Raw genomic sequence first — 22,319 nt, 5'->3', positions numbered from 1 at the left:
GGAATCACTTGAACCCGGGAGGCAGAGGTTGCAGTAAGCCGAGATCGTGCCACTGCACTCCAGCCTGGCAACAGCGCGAGACTCCATCTCAAAAAAGGAAAGAAAGATGTGTTGAGCGGGGCATGGTGGCATACACCTGTAAAGCCTGTAGTTCCAGCTACCCAAAAGGCTGAGGCAGGAGAATACCCAGAGCCCAGGAGTTCAAGGCTTCAGTGAGCTACGATCGCACCACTACATTCTAGACCAGGAGACACAGTGAGGCCTCCATCTCTAAAAATAAAAAAGAGAAAGGTGTGTTATCCTTCTATGGGATATACGGAACGCACAAAAATAATTTTTAATTGTTCATGTATCAAAAGTAACAATGGTTCTCAACCAGGGGTGATTTTGTATCCTTGAGACATTGGCAATGCCTGGAGACATTTTTGTCACAAGAGGAAGAGTTCAAGTTGCATCTAATGGGTAGATGCTGTTAAACATAAAAAAGTCCCCACAACAAGGAATTACCAAGCACCAAAACATCAGCAGTGCAACTGTTTAAAAACCATTTGTCGCTGGGCGCAGTGGCTCATGCTGTAATCCCAACACTTTGGGAGGCCGAGGCAGGCGGATCACCTGAGGTCAGGAGTTCGAGACCAGCCTGACCAACATGGAGAAACCCCGTCTCTACTAAAAATGCAAAATTAGCCAGGCGTGGTGGCCAATGTCTGTAATCCCAGCTACTCCGGAGGCTGAGGCAGAAGAATTGCTTGAACCTGCGTGGTGGAGGTTGCAGTGAGCCGAGATTGTGCCACTGCGCTCCAGCCTGGGCAATAAGAACGAAACTCCATCTCAAAAAAAAACCATTTGCTAGGGCCTCAAGAAATTCTAGCGTAAGTTCAACAATAGACATGTACAATAATGTTCATTACAGCATTTTCATAAGAACTAAAAACTGAAAACTCAAAAATCAATCTACAAGAAAATAAGGAAATGAATCACAATATATTCACCCGATGGAACTACACAGCAGTGAAAATTAACAAATCATAGCTACTCCCAGGAATATGGATGAATCACCAAGCAGGATGGCTCACGTCTGTAATCCCAGCACTTTGGGAGGCCGAGGCAGGCTGATCACTTGAGGTGAGGAGTTCAAGACCAGCCTGGCCAACATGGTGAAACCCCATCTCTACTAAAAATACAAAAATTCGCTGGGTATAGTGGCATATGCCTGTAATCCCAGCTACTCGGGAGGCTGAGACAGAAGACTTGCTGGAGTCCAGGAGGCAGAGGTTGCAGTGAGACAAGATTGTGCCACTGCACTTGCACTCTGACCTGGGCAACAGAGAGAGACTCCATCTCAAAAAAAGAAAATAAATATGGATGAATCTCAGAAAGCCTTAAACTAACCAAAGCGTAAGTCCATTTTCACAAATCTGAAATCAAATTTAATCTACTCTTTAAGGATAAATGCATAAAAGACAAATCCATTTTTTTAAAGCAAGGGCATATGGAACACAAAAATCAGGACATGGTTGCCAAGGAGAGAAGATGGATGAGATAGAAGAGAAACATACAGTGATATCTGGGTGAATTCATAGAACTATACCATGTCTTTTGCATGCCCCAAGTATCATATAAAACCTTTTTTAAGATGAAACAATCAATATAGGTAATATATTTCTATAAATATCTGCAAGAAAATATTTTAATGCTATGTTAAAATTTTTTTTTTAAACACTCTGTCACCCATGCTGGAGTGCGGTAGCACAGTCTCAGCTTACTGCAATCTCCACCTCCCAGGTTCAAGTGATTCTCCTGCTTCAGCCTCCCAAGTAGCTGGGATTACGGGTGTGTGCCACCACACCTGGCTAATTTTTGTATTTTTAGTAGAGACAGGGTCTCGCCATTTTGCCCAGCCTGGTCTCAAACTTCTGGGCTCAAGTGATTCGCACACCTCGGCCTCCCAAAGTGCTGGGATTACAGGCATGAGCCACCACGCCCAGCGTAAAACTGTTCTTTAAGAAATCCCTCTGTATGTCAAGCAATTACTCTTGAGTTTTTAAATTTGACAGTTCCATATGTTTGTATATTACCTAAAGGAAGACAAACCTGCATGCCTGGTGAAGGACTGTGAACCCAACAGAGGACTGTAGACTGTTTTTTCATTGTATTTTGTTACATTAATTTCAATGTCTAGGGTGGCCAGGCACGGTGGCTCACACCTGTAATCCCAGCACTTTGGGAGGCTGAGGCAGGTGGATCACTTGAGGTCAGGAGTTCGAAACCAGCCTGACCAGTATGGTGAAACCCCGTCTCTACTAAAAGTACAAAAATTAACCAGGTATAGTGGCATGCGCCTGTAGTCCCAGCTACTCAAGAGGCTGAGAAAGGAGAATTGCTTGAACTCGGGAGGCGGAGTTTGCAGTGAGACTCCATCTCAAAAATAAATAAACAAATAAATAATAAAAATAAATAAAATAAATGCCTAGGGTTTGGTTATGCATTTGTATCCAAGCCCTTAAAATGGAAATAACTTGCCTAGGTCTCTTCCCCCAATCTTACTGTATTATACAACCAGTAACACATCTACAATACCTATACTTTTTTTTTTTTTTTTGAGACAGAGTCTCACTCTGTCGCCCAGGCTAGGGTGCCATGGTGCGATCTTGACTCACTGCAACCTCCGTCTCCTGGGTTCAAGCAATTCTCCTGCCTCAGCGACCTGAGCAGCTGGGATTATAAGCGTGCGCTAACACACCCAGCTAATTTTTGTATTTTTAGTCGAAACAAGATTTCACCATGTTGATCAGGCTGGTCTCGAACTCCTGGCCTAAGTGATCTGCCCGTCTCAGCCTCCCAAAGTGCTGGGATTACAGGCATGAGCCACCACGCCTGGCCTATGAATACCTATACAAATTAAACTGACAGATTAAATGGACAATCAAGTGTAGCTCATTTGGTAAAATACCTTTAACTTTTAAATAATCATAAACTATAACATCAACAATGACACTGGCATTAAATAAATAATTTGTCTAAAGTATCTGCTTTCGTTTTTTAAAAAATGGTAATTTATGGTAGCATTTGCACATTGTGGCTGGGCACAGCCTGTAACTCCAGCACAATGGAAGGCTGAGGCAGGAGGATCGCTTAAGCTCAGGAGTTCGAGATAAGGCTGGGCAATATAGGGAGACCCTGTCTCTCCAAATAAAATTAAAAAATTAGCCAGGTGTAGTAGTGTGCACCTGTAATCCCAGTTACTCAGGAGGCTGAGGCAGGAGGATCACTTGAGTCTGGGAGGTCGAGGCTGCAGTGAGCCATGATCTCACCACTCCACTCTAGCCTGAGTGACAGAGTGAGACCTTGTCAAAAAAACAAAAAAGAAAAAGAAAAGCCAGGCACTGTGGCTCACACCTGTAATCCTAGCACTTGGGGAGGCCGAGGTGGGTGGATCACCTGCGGTCAAGAGTTCGGGACCAGCCTGGCCAACATGGTGAAACCCCATCTCTACTAAAAATACAAAAATTGGCCAGGCATGGGGGTGGCACGCACCTGTAATCCCAGCTACTCAGGAGGCTGAGGCAGGAGAACTGCTTGAATCCGGGGGGCAGAGGCTGCAGTGAGCCAAGATGGCGCCACTTCACTCCAGCATGGGTGAAAGAACGAAACTCCATCTCAAAAAAAAAAAAAAAAAAGTAAAAGAAAAAAAATCAAAGAAAATAATCTGTGCCAGGCGCAGTGGCTCACACCTGTAATCCCAGCACTTTGGGAGGCCGAGGTGGACAGATCACTTGAGGTCAGGAGTTCAAGACCAGCCTGACCAACATGGATAAACCCTGTCTCTACTAAAAATACAAAATTAACCAGGCGTGGTGGTGCATGCCTGTAATCCCACCTACTTGGGAGGATGAGGCAGGAGAATCGCTTGAACGCAGGAGGCGGAGGTTGCGGTGAGCCAAGATCGTGCCATTGCACTCCAGCCTGGGCAACAAGAGCAAGACGCCGTCTCAAAAAAAAAAAGGACCAGTCTGGCCAACATGGTGAAACCCCGTCTCTACTAAAATACAAAAATTAGCCAGGCATGGTGGCAGGCACCTATAATCCCAGCTACTCAGGAGGCTGAGGCAGCAGAATTGCTTGAACCCAGGAGGCGGAGCTTGCAGTGAGCCGAGATCGCGCCACTGCACTCCAGCCTGGGCAACAGAGTGAGACTCTGTCTCAAAAAAAAAAGAAAAACAGACTGTTCTCCTACGAATATTAATTTAGAAACCTAACTCATTTACTTTCTAAATCCTTATTTTTATGTAACTGGATTGATAAAGGGAGAAGGCAGCCAAACAAGGCCATTCCAACAGTTTCCAAAATTTGCATTTCACAGGAGTGTTAAGTTCACACTGAAAGCCTGCTGGGCTTGCACTGTCTCCCTCAGGGGGGCTGGAATGGGGAGAGGCTTCCCAACACCTGCAAGAGCTACTTGAGTCTCCCAGGTAGGTCACAACCCCTTGGGCCTGCTTTGGCTTCCTGGCAACTACCATGCAGGTCACCCATTGAGGCCCTCCAGCACTCAGCCTGGGCAGCGAGCCCCTCACCAAATACTGGACTGTACTGCCCCTGCACCCAGCTGTGGCCTGGACCAGCGCTTTCCAGCAATTCTACATTGTGACTTTTATGAGATTATCCAGCCTATTTAGTCCTATCAGAAGGACTCATGGGAGGCCATGGAGACTACTCATCCTTAGTTTCAAACATAAAAACTAAGCCTTAAATTTGAAATACTGGCCGGGTGCAGTGGCTCACACCTGTAATCCCAGCACTTTGTGAGGCCAAGGCAGGTGGATAACCTGAGGTCAGGAGTTCGAGACCGGCCTGACCAACATGGAGAAACCCCGTCTCTACTAAAAACACAAAATTAGCAGGGCATGGTGGCGCATGCCTGTAATCCAAGCTGGTCGGGAGGCTGAGGCAGGAGAATCACTTGAACCCAGGAGGTGGAGATTACAATGGGCTGAGATCGTAACATTGCACTCCAGCCTGGGCGACAGAGCAAGACTCTGTCTCAAAAAATAAATAAATTAAAAAAATTGAAATACTTAGAAAACATATTTCAAGACAATTTAATACGCAAACTTTCCAATTATTCCTAAAGATTCACAATCAGGCCAGGTGCAGTGGCTCACACCTGTAATCCTAGCACTTTGGGGGGAGGCCAAGGCAAGAGGATCACTTGAGCTCAGGAGTTTGAGACCAGCCTGGGCAACTTGGAGAGACCTCATCTCTTAAAAAAAAAAAAAAAAAAAAAAAAAAAAAGATTCACAGTCGGGCGCAGTGGCTCACGCCTGTAATCCCAGCACTTTGGGAGGCCAAGGCGGGTGGATCACGAGGTCAGGAGTTTGAGACCAGCTTGGCCAATATGGTGAAACCCCGTCTCTACTGAAAATACAAAAATTAGCTGGGAGTGGTGGCATGCACCTGTAGTCCCAGCTACTCTGGAGGCTGAGGCAGAAGAATCACTTGAACCGGGGAGGCAGAGGTTGCAGTGAGCCAAGATTGCGCCACTGCATTCCAGCCTGAGCGACAGAGCGAGATTCCATCTCAAAAGGAAAAAAAAAAAAAAAAAAAAGGATCAAAATCGCAAAAACCATATACGATACCGGCTATATTGAAAAAAAAAAAAAAAGACGTTGAAAAACATCAAACACAATAATCTGACCATCCTTGCTTTTTTCATTATTAATGAATGCAAGAAATACTATTTTAGAGAATTATGGCAATTTGCACATTTTTTGTTAACTACCTGTCAAAAAAAAAAACAAACTTGAGGGAAATGAATGTGATGTATTATCATGCCATATGCAATCTGTGACACTGAAACTTGGAAAAGTATTTGTTGATCATGTATTCCCTCAATCCTGATACCAATACACAGCTTCCTTGACATGAAATACACAGATATTGACATGTATTTTCAATATCTACAAAATGAAATAGGAAACCATAAATCCAAACTGATAAGTTGACAGCTTGACAAGTTTAATTTCCCCAAAGTCTCAAATATTTAACCAACTTATAATAAAATTAAATACAATCATGATATAAGCACAAAGTCAAGTCATAGTCTGTTACCCAACATTTTTCCTTGATTTACAACACACGGGGTTCTTTTTTTTTTTTTGGTGTTTTTTGTTTGTTTGTTTTGTTTTTCCTTTTTGAGATGGAGTTTCACTCTCGTTGCCCAGGCTAGAGTGCAATGGCACAATCTCAGCTCACTGCAACCTCCACCACCCAGGATCAAGCGATTCTCCTGCCTCAGCCTCCCAAGTACCTGGGGTTACAGGCATGCCCCACCATGCCCGGCTAATTTTTGTATTACTAGCAGAGAGGGTTTCCTCATGTAGGCCAGGCTGGTCTCAAACTCCTGACCTCAGGTGATCCACCCGCCTCAACCTCCCAAAGTGCTGTGATTATAGGCATGAGCCACCGGGCATGGCGTAACACATGGTTTTAATAAATACATGACCAAACCCTCATTAATGTTCACAAAAATAAATTCTATCTAGACTACATTTTGTCTAATTCATAATTTTTCTTTGTTGTTAAACAGCAAAACAAATGTGTCCATTGACCCTTTCTCCATGTGCTTGCTCTTGGAGCAGGAGGCATTGTCCATCTACACAAACTCCTTCAGTAGCATGATATTGAGATCTATCCTCATTGACAACTCTTTGAGTACTGACGTCTTATTAAAAAGAACCTTCTTATAAAAAAAAGTCTTGCATTTGCTTGGTTCTTTACTGTGCTTTAACATATGTTACTTCATTTTCATTCTTAAAAGTTCTCTGTGATGTTAGTTAGCAGGCTGTGATTATTCCCATTTGAGAAATGATGAAACCAAGACTTAGAAATGGAAATAAATTTTCTAAGGTCAAACAGCAAATAGGTGCAATGAACTGACTCCAAGTTTTGTATCCCGGACCCAGATCCCAAATATAACTGACCTCTTTGCTAGGCTCTCCAGCTGCCAAAAAAGAAAAGAGAAGAGAAGAAAAAAAGGAAAAAGATCACACCAAAGCCCACTAAATAAGGAACAAATCTTCTCTCCACTAGATAAACAATTCTGATCAATTTTTAAGAAATGTATGACATGTTATTTAAGATGTTCCAGATTGCATGGAAAAAAAAAACAGCAAGCTTAGAAATCCTTTCTTAAGAAGCCTAAAATGAGTAACAAAACTTAAAAACGACCCAAGAAAACTGCAAACCAGCTTCACTTAAGAGTATTGATGAAAATTTCCTTTTTTAAAATGAACAAACTCCAGGCCAGGTGTAGTGGCTCACGCTTGTAATCCCAGCACTTTGGGAGGCTGAGGTGGGTGGATCATTTGAGGTCAGGAGTTCGAGACCAGCCTGGCCAACATGGTGAAACCCCGCCTCTACTAAAAATACAAAAATTACCCGGGCATGGTGATGGGCACCTGTAGTCCCAGTTACTCGGGAGGCTGAGGCAGGAGAATCACTTGAACCCGGGAGGTGGAGGTTGCAGTGAGCAGAGATTGCATCACTGCACTCCAGCCTGGGCAACAGAGTGAAACTCCCTCTTTAAAAAAAAAAGAAAGAAAAACAAAAAGTGTCAAGATCATGAAAATCAAGACCATGAAGATCAAGGAAAAAAAAATCAAGATCATGAAAATCCTTCTCAAATCCATATTTGAGATTGAAGGATGCTTAAAAGACCTACAACAAGAATACATATTGCACAATTCTGGACTGGATACTTTTGCTATGAAGAACATTAATTACTATAACAAATAGTGAAATATGAAGAATCTAAAAATTAGATGATAGTAATGTATCAGTGTTAATTTCCTGATTTTGATGGATATACTGCAGTTATGGAGAAAAATGTAGGAAATACACATTGAGTTACTGAGGAGTGAGGGAGCATGAAGACAACCATTTGTGTAAAAAAATGTAAACACACACATAAATTTATATAGAATATCTCTAAAATTCCCTAAAAGGGAAGCCCAGCAGGTTAAAAAAAAAAAAAAAATCCTGTTCAGCACTACCCATCAGCTGGGGCCTGCCTATCTGTCACCAAAAACTATGTGATCATTTATGTGCTTTCCCAGGGACCGAGATTTTCTAGAAAGAGCCCTAATGAGAAGACACAAGCATTTCAGATCCAGATTCTAGTTCTTCTTGCCAGTTTAATTAGGGAACCACACTGAAGACATTAGTCTTCCAATGCCTGACACTCTCGGTCGACTGAAAAAGTTCATATTCCCTAAAAGGGAATTTTAGACAGAAGGGAACTAGCTGTCTAAAGGCTAAAAGTGAGAACCATGTACACATTTTACCCTTTAATACCTTCTGAATTTTATATCTTGTTACATACCTTGTATTGCCTATTTGAAAATACTAAAAGAAATATTATGTGTGTATATATAATACAAACTTAGAAAAATAAATAAAATTATCAAAAAAAAAAGGAAAATGATTTTACCTATCTCAGGGCCAGATTCTTCCTGCTAATGAAAGCTGCCTGAATATTATAGACTGAGAGGTATCACTTTATGTGCCCAAATTTTAGGGAAGGATTCCTTTTTGAAAGTTAAATAGATGGCCAGATGGCCAAGCACAGAAGATCACGCCTGTAATCCCAGCACTTTGGAAGGCTGAAGCGGACATCACCTGAGGTCAGGACTTCAAGACCAGCCTGGACAACATGGCAAAACCCCATCTCTACTAAAAACGGCAAAACCCCATCTGTACTAAAAACACAAAAATTAGCCAGGCATGGTGGCAGGTGCCTGTAGTCCCAGCTACTCGGGAGACTGAGGCAGAAGAATCGCTTGAACCTGGGAGGCAGAGGTTGCAGTGAGCCGAGATCATGCCATTGCACTGCATCCTAGGTGACAGATCAAGACACCGTCTCAAAAAAAAAGGGGGCCGTGCATGGTGGCTCACGCCTGTAATCCCAACACTTTGGGAGGCTGAGGCAGGCGGATCACAAGGTCAGGAGTTCGAGACCATCCTGCCGAACGTGGTGAAACCCTGTCTCCACTAAAAACACAAAAAAATTAGCCGGGCGTGAGGTGAGGGGTGCCTGTAGTCCCAGCTACTCGGGAGGCTGAGGCAGGAGAATGGCGTGAACCCAGGAGGCGGAGCTTGCAGTGAGCCGAGATCGTGCCACTGCACTCCAGCCTGGGCGACACAGCGAGACTCCATCTCAAAAAAGAATAAAAAAAAAGCAAAAAAGAAAGTTAAATAGATAAAAAACAAAATGAGATAAACTACCTGCAAAAAAAACACTTCAGTTCACCCACTCAAAGGGATGCCTGTGACCATTCAAAGTATCTGATGGACTCTCAGAACAGAACAGAATCAACAATATACTAATGATCAGACAAAGCCTGTCCTGAGGACTGGAATTTAAACAAACATCTGGTACAAAAAACAAATGCAAAGATGGAGGTAAAAAGGGAGCCAAATGAAGGAATTTATCGCTTCTTTAACCTTATTCAACAAGAGAAAACGTACTGGCAGAGAAGAATGTTCTGATAAGCAGAGGTGAATGCTCAAGGGTCAGGGAAGCCCAGCAGGTTAAAAAAAAAAAAAATCCTGTTCAGCACTACCCATCAGCTGGGGCCTGCCTACCTGTCACCAAAAACTATGTGATCATTTATGTGCTTTCCCAGGGACCGAGACTTTCTAGAAAGAGCCCTAATGAGCAGACACAAGCATTTCAGATCCAGATTCTAGTTCTTCTTGCCAGTTTAATTAGGGAACCACACTGAAGACATTAGTCTTCCAATGCCTGACACTCTCGGTCGACTGAAAAAGTTCATATTTCTAAATGTACAATGCTAAAAATGGAAGCAGGACTATGAACTCCACTAAAATGTCCCACACCGAGACCCCCACTAAAGGGGGCCAACTGTCCTAAGTCTGACATTTCTAATTTCAAAAATTTTCCCATTCCTTCCCAGTAAACAGCAAATCAATACTTGAAATTATAGCTTTTTGTACGATTATCATACATAAGTTGAGCATCTCAAACCAAAAATCTGAAATACTCCAAAATCTGAAAGTTTCGAGGGCAAACATGACACTCAAAGTAAATGCTCATTTCAGATTTCAAATTCTCAGATTACAGATGCTCAGTTGTAACTATAGCATCTGTAATGTATAGTAAAATGCAATATTCCCAAATCTGAAAAAAATATAAAATTCATGTATTTCAGATAAGGAATACTCAACCTATACAATATATTTTCATATATTTTAAAATATTTACTTTGCCAAGCACAGTGGCTATTGCCTGTAATCCCAGCACTTTGGGAGGCTGAGGTGGGCGGATCACCTGAGGTCAGGAGTTAGTGACCAGCCTGGCCAACATGGTGAAACCCCATCTCTACTAAAAGCACAAAAATTAGCCTGGTGCGGTGGCACACACCTGTAGTCCCAGCTACTCAGGAGACTGAGGCAGGGGAATAGCTTGAACCCAGGAGGTGAAGGTTGCAGTGAGCCGAGATCACACCACTGCACTCCAGCCTGGGTGACAGAGAAAGACTCCATCCCCCTGCAAAAAAAAGAAAAAGAAAATAGAGTACAGCATAGTTGATAAAGTTTTGTGAAACTTTTGTTTCAATTTTATATATTTATGTGTGTTGGGTCACGATGGGTAAGATGTATTTCCCAATGCGTGTCCTGGTTTTACAGTTCCTTCATTTTTGCATATATGTAAAAGTCATTAATTTGCACAATAAATGTTCGTTGAGCACCTATACTATAGTGCTAGTGAGGGAACAGTGTGCTATATAGAATAGAAGGAAATAAAAATACTTGGTCTCTGCCCTTGTAGAATCTTTACAGTGTAGAAACAATCAAATAATCACAAAAATATACAATTATAAACCACTAAGTGTTAGGGAAAAATACAGGGAATTAAGACAGCTCATCATTAGGGAAGCTGATTTAATCAGAGAAGAGAAATGAGTAACAGGTCAGGTTTCTCTGAAGAAGTACTTTCAAGTAGAGATCAGAAAGATGTATGAAAAGGGGGAAAATGAGAGGAGAAATCAGTCAGGCAAAAAACAGCACATTCAGGAAGGTTGTATACAGTTTGAAGAAAAGAAAAGCCAATAGGTAGAGAGAACATGAAAAACCATCTAGATAAGACATGGGTGGAGCTTGGGGTAGAAAGAGATATGGCAGGAATTTTAAATATCCTGAGGCCTATGAGAACAATCCAATAAGGCAATAGGCCTTAAAGATCATGCTGGAAAGAGATTGGAGGGAGGATGGGAGTGAATGGTAGGATAATGCATTGGAGGTGGAGACAAGCGGATTGATCCCCACAATATTATTCCTGAAGCAGAAGTTACAAGGTGTTAAGTGATACTTTGGATGTGAGGGCTGAGGAACCATGAAGTGTTGGATAACTCATAATGAAATGAGTGAGCAATGAAATGAGATGAGATGCAGGAGAAATTCCAGAGAAGCAGAGCTGAGAGGAAAGATCAGAGTTACATTTGTTATACTTAACAAGTAGAGATGCCAAATTAATACCTGGAACTGGATGGAGATATAAAAAAAGAAGTCATTAGCACAAAGGCTTTGATGACTCATCATTGTGCTCCTTAAATATCCACCCATAGTAATATACAATATAAACCCAGAAGAATCCAGAATAAATTTGAGGCTTTATGCAGTAGCAGTTCATAAATACCATAGTAGCTGAAATACCATGTGTATCTGAACAGTATACAGTGCAACAGTTAACTAAACATTCACACTCTTAAAATAATCCACTTCCATGAAATCATAGGGAATCCAGTCTATTGTGTTCACTGCTGTCCACATCTGACACAGTGTATGGCACATAGTACAAGTTAATCTACTGAAGAAATGTATCCACTACTATGCAAAATATACCACCCATCAAAAATAAAACAAACAGTACAAATAATGAGCAACTGTGCAAGGGAAATCTTTGTACTATGAAACATATAAATGAACCAATTAGGACATTTTTCAAGGAAAAAGGGAAAAGAGTTATTTAGCACTTAAGTGCTCATACCCTAATAGTCTATATTCTGTTCTATGCTACATATATCTAATGCTATATTCTGTTCTCTAATAATCAGCTGAATTTCAACATCGGAAATTCCAACTGGGCAGCCTATTGTAAGTACTCCTACCATTCTCTAGAAATCTCTGAGTAATACAAGCAACAACTAAAATGTAATAAAAGCTTGATGCTGAAACTATAACAAAATCTCATCTAAGTTATTAAAACAAAACAAAAACTGTTAAAAGTGTATTCTGGCTGGGAGCGGTGGCTCATTCCTGTAATCCCAGCACTTTGGGAGGCCGAGGCGGATGGATCACCTGAGGTTGGGAGTTCGAGACCAGCCTAACCAACACGGAGAAACCCTCCGTCTCTACTAAAAACACAAAATTAGCTGGGCGTGGTAGCGCAGGCCTGTAAGCCCAGCTACTCAGGAAGCTGAGGCAGGAGAATTGCTTGAAACTGGGAGGCGGAGGTTGTGGTGAGCCAAGATCGCTACATTGCACTCCAGCCTGGGCAACAAGAGCGAAACTCTATCTCAAAAAAAGAAAAAGTGCATTCTCCAATGTGAAAAGGGCAATAACTGATTATTTTTCTTTTTCCTCTATCTTCTCCTGTTTCCCAGCTTTTCTAACAAACATGAATTTTTATTAACTTATTTTCCCTCTTCACAATGGTAACACTGATTCATAGGAGAAAATTTAGAAAATGCACATAAACACAAAGGAAACAAATTACCCACAATTCCATCACCCAGAAGTTACTAACTACTGTCAATATTTTTGTGGGAACCTTTCTCTGGGCTTGCATGAGGGTAGGGAGGGAAGAGAGATACACAAGTAATGGCATGATTGCTTAAGACTATGAAGGAGACTACAGAATGCTGCTATGGCCAGTGTGCAGGATTGAGAGAACACTAACTTGAAGAAGTTGACAACTGAGCTGAGCTTCCTGAAGAATGAGATGGAATCAATCAAAGAAGTGCAACTGGGGTAGCAGTCCAGGCACAGGGAACAACAGCATGGGCAGAGTACCAAGCCCATTCAGGGAACTAGGAAGAAAGATGAGTTTGGTAGGAAGGAGACTGGCTGGGCAGTCACACACAGAGCTGAGAGTTAGGACTTTTTCCCTAGAGAAAGCAGCCTTGAAGCAGGAGCAGGGGGGATAGGCTTCCTTAAAGGAATTATTCTGACTGTTAGTATGGGAAAAGGATTAGGCCCAGAAAGTGTGGATTTAGAAGATCGTAACCACGCCCCCTCTACCCCCCATCCATCCCCCCCCACCAGCGGAAGGGTAAGGAGGATGAGGAAGTAGGGAATCTTTAGAGGGTCGGGGAGTAAAAAAGACAATGACCTGGCCGGGTGTGGTGGCTCATGCCTGTAATCCCCCAGTAATTTGGGAGGGTGAGGGGGTGGATCACCTGAGGTCAAGAATTCGAGCCCAGCCTGGCCAACATGGTGAAACCTCATCTCTACTAAAAATACAAAAATTAGCTGGGCGTGATGGCAGGTGCCTGTAATTTCAGCTACTTGGGAGGCTAAGGCAGGAGAATCGCTTGAACCCAGGAGGTGGAGGTTGCAGTGAGCCAAAATCACACCACTGCACTCCAGCCTGGGCAACAAGGGCGAGACTCCATCTTAAAAAAAAAAAAAGACAATGACCTAATATATTATATTATATATTATATAATATAAAGACAATGACCTAATATATATTGTATTTATATTATAAAATTATATTTTAGGCTCCACAAAATGGTCTACATTTGTAGCGATAAAAAAGATACTGTGACTTTAATTATGATACACCTCCTAAGAAATTCATAACAGAAATAGAGCTTGCAGGCCAAGCACAGTGGCTCACACCTGTAATCCCAGAACTGTGGGAGGCCAAGTCAGAAGGATCACTTGAGCCCAGAATTTTGAGACTAGCCTGAGCAACACACTGAGACCCCATCTCTACAAACAGAAATTTTTTTAACTGAAAAAGAAAAGAAGGAACAATGAGAACACATGGACACAGGGAGGGGAACATCACACACCAGGGCCTGTTGTGGGGTGGGGGGCTGGGGGAGGGATAGTGTTAGGAGAAATACCTTATGTAAACAACGAGTTGATCAGTGCAGCAAACCAACATGGCACATGTATACCTATGTAACAAACCTGCACGTTGCGCACATGTACCCTAGAACTTAAAGTATAATAAAAACAGAAAAATGGGCAGGCATGATGGCTCACACCTGTAATCCCAGCACTTTGGGAGGCCGAGGCAGGCGGATCACGAGGTCAGGAGATCGAGACCATCCTGGCCAACACGGTGAAACCCCGTCTCTACTAAAAATACGAAAAAAATTAGTTGGGCGTGCCTGTAATCCCAGCTACTCGGGAGGCTGAGGAGGAGAATCACTCCAGGGAGTCGGAGGTTGCAGTGAGCCGAGATCATGCCACTGCACTCCAGCCTGGGCGACAGAGGGAGACTCCATCTCAAAAAGAAAAAGAAAAAAGAGACAGAGGTTGGGAGAGAAGCATTAAATACTAATATTTAACAAAAGGGAACACACATTTTTCAGTAGATATTGAGCTTAATCAAAGTACAGAATGTACCTATCTTATCACTAAATATAGAGCAAATAAGTGAATATCAAGGGAATAACCATGAGCAGTATAAAGACTGTGCTAACAGGAAGGGATGATCAGGCCAGGTGCAGTGGCTCACGCCTGTCATCCTAGCACTTTGGGAGGCTGGGGCAAGCGGACTGCTTGAGCCCGGGAGTTTCAGACCAGCCGGGGTACCATGGCAAGACCACAAAAATCAGCCAGGCATGATGGCATGTACCTGTAGTCCCACCTACTTGAGAGGCTGGGGCTGGTGGACTGCCAGAGCACAGCAGACAGAGAGGTTACAGTGAGCTGAGACTGTCACTGCTGCACTCCAGCCTGGGCATCAGAGTTACACCCTGTCTCCAAAAAAAAAAAGAACAGGATGATCTTAATACTGACATCCAGAGGCCGGGCACAGTGGTTCACACCTGTAATCCCAGCACTTTGGGAGTCCAAGGTGGGCGGATCACCTGAGGTCAGGAGTTCGAGACCAGCCTGAACAACATGGTGAAACCCTGTCTCTACAAAAATACAAAAATTAGCCAAGCATGATGGTGGGTGCCTGTAATCCCAGCTACTGGGTTGGCTGAGGCAGGAGAATCGCCTGAACCTGGGAGATAGAGGTTGCAGTGAGCCGAGATCGCGCCATTGGCACAGAGTGAGACTCCATGGACAACAGAGCGAGATTCCGTCTCAAAAAAAAAAAAAAAAAGACATCCAGGAAAGGAAAACACAGCATTAACCATAGAATAAAGCCCCACTTTAGAGAACTGGAGAACTGAAGTTGGCAGTGGAATAGGGAAAGATCAACAGGCCCCTTCAAGGCTTGAAAGAGTATCACCAAGCCAGGCACGGTGGCTCACGCCTGTAATCCCAGCACTTTGGGAGGCTGAGGTGGGCAGATCACGAGGTCAGGAGATCGAGACCATCCTGGCTAACACAGTGAAACCCCATCTCTACTAAAAATAAAAAAAAAATTAGCCAGGCATGGTGGTGGGTGCCTGTAGTCCCAGCTATTCAGGAGGCTGAGGCAGGAGAATGGTGTGAACCCAGGAGGCGGAGCTTGCAGTGAGCAGAGATCGTGCCACTGCACTCCAGCCTGGGCAACAGAGTGAGACTTCGTCTCAAAAAATAAATAAATAAATAAATAAATAAATAAATAAATAAATAAAAAAGAGTATCACCCAAGACTAACTATCCCTCCTTACGCATGCAGTCATTCAACAGATGTTTAACCTAGCAATTACATTATATATATATATATATATACCCAAGAGTAGAGAAAACACGCGTCCACACAAAAACTAGTTCACAAATATTCATAGCATTACTCAGCCAAAAGCAGAGATAACACAAATGTCTACCAACTGATGAATAAACAAAATGTGATGTATCCATAATAGAATATTAGCCATTAAAAGGAATGAAGTACTGATACAGGCTGCAACATGGATGAACCTTAAAAAACATTATGCCAAGTGAAAGAAGTCACTCACAGAAGACCAGATAGTGTATTATTCCATGTATATAAAATGTCCAGAATAGCCAAATCTATTGAGACAGACAGCAGATTAGTGGTTGCCTAGGGACAGAAGGGGATAGAATTGGAGGGAACTAGGCAATGACAGCTAATAGGAACAGAGCTTCTTTTGGGGATTAAAAAAATTCAAAAATTCATTGTGGTGATGGTTGCACAAGACTATTCATTTACTAAAAGCTTTTATTTATTTATTTATTTATTTATTTATTTATATTTTTACTTTTTTTTTTTTTTGAGATGGAGTCTCAGTCTGTCACCCACGCTGGAGTGCAGTGGTGCCATCTCGGCTCACGGCAACCTCCACTTCCAGGATTCAAGTGATTCTCTTGCCTCAGCTGGGATTACAGGCGCCTGCCACCATGCCTGGCTAATTTTTGAATTTTTGGTACAGACGAGGTTTCGCCATTTTGGCCAGGCTGGTCTTGAACTCCTGACCTCAGGTGATACACCCGCCTCGGCCTCCCAAAGTGTTGGGATTACAGGCAGGAGCCACGGCGCCGGGTCTGATTTTCAACTTTAGAAAAGCAACTGACTAAAGTCTGTTAATAAAAAGAAATAAGTCTTCGGTTTAAATTGTACTGTATTACCAAGTTTGCGGGATACTGTAAAGCTTATGTGAAAACTTTTCATAACACTGAAATTGGGAGAAAAAGCACCTAAAAAACCCGAACAACCGTGTAATCCGTTCCAAAACAAACTATGGGCGGGTTGCGCGGAGGCCAGCAAGGTAAGAAAGCAAGCGATAATCGCAAAGCAGAGCCGACTGCTTCCTAATAAAAAATGGACCTTTAAAAATTAAAACCACTAGTTTTCAACCACAACACTTCGAAATGAGAATATTAGTCACCGTTGCCATAGAAACAGTAAAGCCAAGCTGCCCGGAATTTAGACATTTTTTTAAATACCGCAAACTGAAATGGGTGAAAATAGGGCAGAGTTTAGTGTGAACCTAAGTGGCCGGAACCTACTAGTAACTTTCACCAGGATAAAAGTGACTCTGCTTTTCTAACCTACATTTCCGAACAGTGCTTTATAAATCACCTCTCGGGGTTAGTTTATCAAGCGCAAAAAAAAGTTTACCTTGTCTCTTCCGGAAGAAGGAACCTGACAAAACCCCTCCCGGTAGTATTGCCCACAATCAGAGCCAGCCAGCGCAGGCTTGCACCGCGCAGCAAAGGGGGAGCCCAGCATCAAGTCCACGCGGAAAGCATCTGAATCCCGGCTGCTGGCTTTACTGGCGGAGCACAGAGGAAAACCCCAAGCTCCTGCCTACAGCCCCGGCCTGTCTGGCTCCCTCCTCCACGTCCCCACTCCACGCCACGTTCTGTGCCTGGCAGTCCACGCGCCCTAATCCAACTCGCATTTATTTAAGCACCCGCCGTCTACACCGCATCATGGTTCCTCCAGGCACTGCAGGAAGAAATGGCCCCATGCCGGGGGAAAGAAACACCAAAAGGACAGCCGCGAGGGCTGAAGACGACCCCGAATGACGGGATGACTGCCTGCAACGGGTGGTCAGGAGAGGAGCTCCCACCCTCACCCCGCGGGTCGTGACACTCCCAGGGAAGGGAGGGCCCCGAGGGGTGCACCAGGCCCGGCCTTCCTGGAGTCCGCCACAGCCGACTGGCGGCGTTAAGAGGTCCGCATCCCAGGACCGCCCGAGCGCTCCTCTGCCCCAAGGAGGCGACCCCGACTCCGGATCCCGGGAAAACGGCGAGCGCGGGTACCGAACCTCGGTAAGGGCCGGAGCGGGCTGTCACCGGCCCCCGCATCCCTCCCCTGCGGCCGCGGCCGGCCGCTCCCTCCCCAGCTTGACAGTCGCTGCAGTCACGGACGGAGCGTCTCTGCCCCAGCGTCGCCGCTCGCCCGGACGCCCGCACCCCCGTGCCCCACGCGGAGGGGGGCAGTGCCGGGAAGACCTCTCCGGACCCTCCCCCCGCCCTGGCCCCCAGACTCCGGAAAAGCGGTTACCTGGCGCGCGGGTTGGGGCGAGAGCACGACTCGGTGGAGGAGGAAGAGAAGACAGTGGCCTCCGGCCCAGGGAGATTTGGGAAATTTGGGAGACTTGTTCCGCACTAGGTGACAGCTGTTCGCTGCGCACGCGCACAGGACCCCGGCCGCCCGATCACTGCGCCGCGCCTCACCCTCCCGTCGAGGGGGTGGGTGGGAGGCAGCGGCGAAGGCGCGCGCACCGCCGGCTCTCCCTGCGCGAGGGCGCGCGCGCCGTCACGTGACCGCTGGGGCCCGCACTTGGTGAGTCACGTGGGCTTACAAACAGCTTAAAGGTGCCCGGCACGCTCTTGCTTTGGGCTCAACTTCCGCGCTGTGGTTAACTTAGGCTTGCTGGCGCGCATCTTCTTGTCCTTTGGACACAGGCATATCCCATTCTTTCCGGAGGGGAAAGATACTCGCGTAGAAGGAGAAAACAGGTGCACAGAACCTTGCCCGGAAGCGCTGGCTGGGGTCCCGCAGGGCTGGACCTGATGTAGTCCACGCGCCACACGTCCTCCTGGGCGCCGACGCGCACCTATGGCGGCCTCCGACGCGCGGACGTCAGCGTGGCGTTACCGGGGTGGAGCCTCGGAATGTACTGGAGAGCCTGGCGAGAAAGTCGGGGCTCGCAGCTCTCCGGCGATGACAGCGCTGTGTTCCCGTTCTCCCTTCACCCGGTGGCCGGGACCACTGAGCCTCCTTCCCACAATGGGAGATCCCGAATAGGCGAAGAGTATCTTCGTGTCCCAACCCTTTAACAACTACCGCGCAGGAGCGTGTCAGCCTCTGGAAGCAAAACTGTCCGGTGTTGAGTCACCTACACCCAGCACGTCCCGCCCCGACCCGCCCAAGTGTGCTCTTAAGATAGGGAGGCACAAAGGTGACCCCAATAGGAATCCTGGGCTGGCGGTCCCTCAGAAACTAGAGTTGATAACAGTTTGGCCAGAACTGAAGTGACTAGAAATGCAGGTGCCTCCAGCGTCTGAGACTAGATAAGTTAACTTCCTACAACTTGTTGCTTTTCCTCTGTAACTCCGCCTTCCGAGGTGTCAGAAGGAACCAACCAGACCTTAAGCCCCTGTACTGCCAAAGACAGATGGTTGAGCATCAGATGTTTTGCAAAGCTGAATGATTTTTTTTTTAAACTTCCTACAGAGCTCCCAGCTGGGTCCCTTGTGGCGTTTTCTCTAACGTCTTAGCTAAGAAAGATTGGGCATATCTTCACACCAGTGAGCAAAGTTGGGCTAATATGCTGAATTTTCTGTTACATTATACTGATAACAGAATTTTAAAAATATATCGACACCGCTTACCACGCGCTTGAACTCGTTTCTCACTGGGGTGAACATTGTGAGGACAGATGGAATGTGATTAATTGAGCTAAGGCTAACGGGATTATTGGGTCACCATATTTCTTTAGTTGTTAAAAACAAAGTTCCGCTACACACACAGACACACTCTTTTTTGAGACGGAGTCTTGCTGTGTCGCCCAGTTTGGAGTGCAATGGCGCTATCTCGGCTTACTGCAACCTCCGCCTCACGGGTTCGAGAGATTCTCCTGCCTCAGCCTCCCGAGTAGCTGGGATTACAGTCGCCCGCCACCACGCCCAGCTAATTTTTGTATTTTCAGTAGAGACAGGGTTTCGCCATGTTGGCCAGGCTGGTCACAAACTCCTGACCTCAGGTGATCCGCCCGCCTCGGCCTCCCAAAGTGCTGGGATTACAGGCGTGAGCCACTTCACCCGGCCACACACAATTCTGAACTTGGCTAACGTATACTCAACTGGGAATTTTCCAAATGTGTGCATGTAACGTCAGGATCCCAACCATCCTTACAAGTAAATTGGATATGCTAAAATAATAAATATGCAACCTAACACTTACTTAGAACAGTAATGTGAGCTACACACTGTCTTCAGAGCTTCACATGTATTAATAAATACTTATAATAATTCAATGAATAGGTACTATTAATACCTCATTGTTACAGATGTGGAAACTGAAGCATAGCGGTTAAGAAATATGTCCACAATCAAGCAGCTAGGGTCTTTTGGAAGCCATATGCTATATTAGAAATCTTGTGCACCAGAATAAAAAATCTGGAAACCTGAAATCCATTTTCTTCAGAATTTGCAGATGCACAAATAACATTTCTTTACCATTGTGAATTAGAGTATGACTTTTTTTTAACCTGAAGAACTGAAGTGGATATACGAACCTTGCTAACTTCACTGAGCACTTTTTAATTTTAAGGAAGATAATGTAAAATGTCAAAACACTTCAAAAGCTGTAAAGCACTATGTGAATCCATTAAGTGCTTCACAGTCTTGGAAAGTGAAGAGAGCCTACTAGAAAATCAACTGGACTCATGGCACTGAGGGCAGTCTTGTGTCCCTAATGTATCAAAATACCTCCATATTATGAATTATCGTGAAAACATTTTAGCCATATAGTAAATTTTTTATTTAGATTCAATTGTTTAAATCCCAATTGCAATATATTAATGGAAGGCTGTATGAACAATACATAGATTCCCCTTGAAGTTTATATGTAATGTGAACTAACGAACAGATCATCAGATCACCTCAGAGACAATACTTGTTTTTATTTTATTTTATTTATTTGTTTGTTTTTTGAGACAGAGTCTTACTCTGTTGCCCAGGCTGGAGTGCAGTGGCGCCATATCGGCTCACTGCAGCCTTGACCTCCCGGGTTCAAGCAATTCTCGTGCCTTGTGCCTCATTCTCCTGAGCAGCTGGCATTACAGGCATGTGCCATAATGCCCAGCTAATTTTTGCATTTTTTTATAATTGAGACAGAGTCTCACTCTGTTGCCCAGGCTGGAGTGCAGTGGCGCGATCTCAGCTCACTGCAACCTCCGCCTCCTGGGTTCACGGCATTCTGCTGCCTCAGCCTCCCAAGTAGCTGGGACTACAGGCGCGTGCTACCACACCTAGCTAATTTTTTGTATTTTAAGTGGAGACGGGGTTTCACCGTGTTAGCCAGGATAGTCTTGATCTCCTGACCTTGTGATCCACTCACCTTGGCCTCCCAAAGTGCTGGGATTACAAGCGTGAGCCACCATGCCCGGCCTAATTTTTGTATTTTTTGTAGACAGGGTTTCGCCACATTGGCCAGGCGGGTCTCAAACTCCTGAGCTCAAGTGATCTGCTGGCCTCCGCCTCCAAAAGTGCTGAGATTACAGACGTGAGCCACCATGCCTGGCCAATACTTGTAAGTTTCTTAAAATATATATAATGCAGCAAATTTATATGCTGCTTTTTTTTTTTTTTTTTTTTTTTACTTTGAGACAGGATCTTCACACTGTTGCCCAGACTGGAGTGCAGTGGCACTATCACGGCTCAATACAGCCTCCACTTCTAGGATCATGCAGTCCTCCCACCTCAGCCTCCCATGTAGCTGGGACTACAAGCGCACACCACCACACCTGGCTAATTTGTTTATTTCTTTGTAGAGTCAGGGTCTCACTATGTTGCCCAGGCTAGTGTCAAACTCCTGGGCTCAAATGATCCTCCCGCCTCAGCCTCCCAAAGTGGTGAGAATACAGGAGTGAGCCACTGCCCTGGCTGCAAATTGATATACTTCTAAATAATAGTCTAATTTTGAATCTGTTGAAGTACACTACACTTTTTACAAATATAAATAATTGAGCTGGGCACAGTGGCTCATGCCTCTAATCTCAGCACATTGGGAGGCCAAGGCGGGCATATCACCTAAGGTCAGGAGTTCAAGACCAGCCTAGATAACATGGTTAAACCCTGTCTCTACTAAAAATACAAAAATTAGCTGGGCATGGTGGCAGGTGCCTGTAATCCCAGCTACTCGGGAGGCTGAGGCATGAGAATCACTTGAATCCAGGAGGCAGAGGTTGCAGTGAGCTAAGATAGCACCACTGCACTCTAGCCTCGATGACAAGAGCAAAACTCCATCTCAGAAAAAAAAAAGAAAAAGAAAAGAAAACAAAACAAATATACAGAATTGAATGAGGCTGGGCTCGGTAGCTCACGCCTATAATCCCAACACTTTGGGAGGCCGAGGCGGGCGGATCACCTGAGGTCAGGAGATCGAGACCATCCTGGCTAGCACGGTGAAACCCTGTCTCTACTAA

At 44.6% G+C, this 22,319-nt stretch overlaps 1 protein-coding gene across 18 annotated transcripts in view, besides 10 other annotated features; it reads right to left on the bottom strand.

Moving 5' to 3' along the window:
- KDM4C (lysine demethylase 4C) overlaps positions 1 to 22,319 on the bottom strand; it is a 454,786-nt gene that overhangs the window by 399,276 nt on the left and 33,191 nt on the right. For 17 of the 18 annotated variants that reach the window (NR_148680.3, NR_148679.3, NR_148677.3 and 14 more), the window contains exon 1: positions 18,170 to 18,400. The exons of the other annotated variant lie outside the window; for it this stretch is intronic. The gene's annotated coding sequence lies outside the window, so the exon portion shown is untranslated. Of the gene's footprint in view, positions 1 to 18,169; positions 18,401 to 22,319 lie in introns of those variants that run through there. 18 annotated transcript variants of the gene reach the window in all.
- Positions 567 to 1,159: an enhancer, noted in NCBI's record as "H3K27ac hESC enhancer chr9:6775214-6775806 (GRCh37/hg19 assembly coordinates)". NCBI's record gives its function as "activates a minimal SCP1, AML or CMV promoter by ChIP-STARR-seq in primed H9 embryonic stem cells {active_cell/tissue: H9 hESC(primed)}" and the evidence as "EXISTENCE:reporter gene assay evidence [ECO:0000049][PMID:30033119]".
- Positions 4,246 to 5,219: an enhancer, noted in NCBI's record as "OCT4-NANOG-H3K27ac-H3K4me1 hESC enhancer chr9:6771154-6772127 (GRCh37/hg19 assembly coordinates)". NCBI's record gives its function as "activates a minimal SCP1, AML or CMV promoter by ChIP-STARR-seq in primed H9 embryonic stem cells {active_cell/tissue: H9 hESC(primed)}" and the evidence as "EXISTENCE:reporter gene assay evidence [ECO:0000049][PMID:30033119]".
- Positions 8,293 to 8,936: an enhancer, noted in NCBI's record as "H3K27ac-H3K4me1 hESC enhancer chr9:6767437-6768080 (GRCh37/hg19 assembly coordinates)". NCBI's record gives its function as "activates a minimal SCP1, AML or CMV promoter by ChIP-STARR-seq in naive H9 embryonic stem cells {active_cell/tissue: H9 hESC(naive)}" and the evidence as "EXISTENCE:reporter gene assay evidence [ECO:0000049][PMID:30033119]".
- Positions 8,937 to 9,582: an enhancer, noted in NCBI's record as "H3K27ac-H3K4me1 hESC enhancer chr9:6766791-6767436 (GRCh37/hg19 assembly coordinates)". NCBI's record gives its function as "activates a minimal SCP1, AML or CMV promoter by ChIP-STARR-seq in naive H9 embryonic stem cells {active_cell/tissue: H9 hESC(naive)}" and the evidence as "EXISTENCE:reporter gene assay evidence [ECO:0000049][PMID:30033119]".
- Positions 14,366 to 15,048: an enhancer, noted in NCBI's record as "H3K4me1 hESC enhancer chr9:6761325-6762007 (GRCh37/hg19 assembly coordinates)". NCBI's record gives its function as "activates a minimal SCP1, AML or CMV promoter by ChIP-STARR-seq in primed H9 embryonic stem cells {active_cell/tissue: H9 hESC(primed)}" and the evidence as "EXISTENCE:reporter gene assay evidence [ECO:0000049][PMID:30033119]".
- Positions 17,087 to 17,306: an enhancer, noted in NCBI's record as "active region_28207". NCBI's record gives its function as "activates an Ori minimal core promoter by ATAC-STARR-seq in GM12878 lymphoblastoid cells {active_cell/tissue: GM12878}" and the evidence as "EXISTENCE:reporter gene assay evidence [ECO:0000049][PMID:35858748]".
- Positions 17,967 to 18,136: a silencer, noted in NCBI's record as "silent region_19771". NCBI's record gives its function as "represses an Ori minimal core promoter by ATAC-STARR-seq in GM12878 lymphoblastoid cells {active_cell/tissue: GM12878}" and the evidence as "EXISTENCE:reporter gene assay evidence [ECO:0000049][PMID:35858748]".
- Positions 18,227 to 18,466: a silencer, noted in NCBI's record as "silent region_19770". NCBI's record gives its function as "represses an Ori minimal core promoter by ATAC-STARR-seq in GM12878 lymphoblastoid cells {active_cell/tissue: GM12878}" and the evidence as "EXISTENCE:reporter gene assay evidence [ECO:0000049][PMID:35858748]".
- Positions 18,507 to 18,866: an enhancer, noted in NCBI's record as "active region_28206". NCBI's record gives its function as "activates an Ori minimal core promoter by ATAC-STARR-seq in GM12878 lymphoblastoid cells {active_cell/tissue: GM12878}" and the evidence as "EXISTENCE:reporter gene assay evidence [ECO:0000049][PMID:35858748]".
- Positions 19,598 to 20,309: an enhancer, noted in NCBI's record as "H3K4me1 hESC enhancer chr9:6756064-6756775 (GRCh37/hg19 assembly coordinates)". NCBI's record gives its function as "activates a minimal SCP1, AML or CMV promoter by ChIP-STARR-seq in primed H9 embryonic stem cells {active_cell/tissue: H9 hESC(primed)}" and the evidence as "EXISTENCE:reporter gene assay evidence [ECO:0000049][PMID:30033119]".

This window comes from Homo sapiens, chromosome 9, assembly GCF_000001405.40.
Source record: "Homo sapiens chromosome 9, GRCh38.p14 Primary Assembly".
Taxonomy (NCBI): Eukaryota; Metazoa; Chordata; class Mammalia; order Primates; family Hominidae; genus Homo; species Homo sapiens.
Note: the sequence above shows the minus strand (reverse complement) of the source record. Positions and strands in the feature narration are given on the sequence as shown.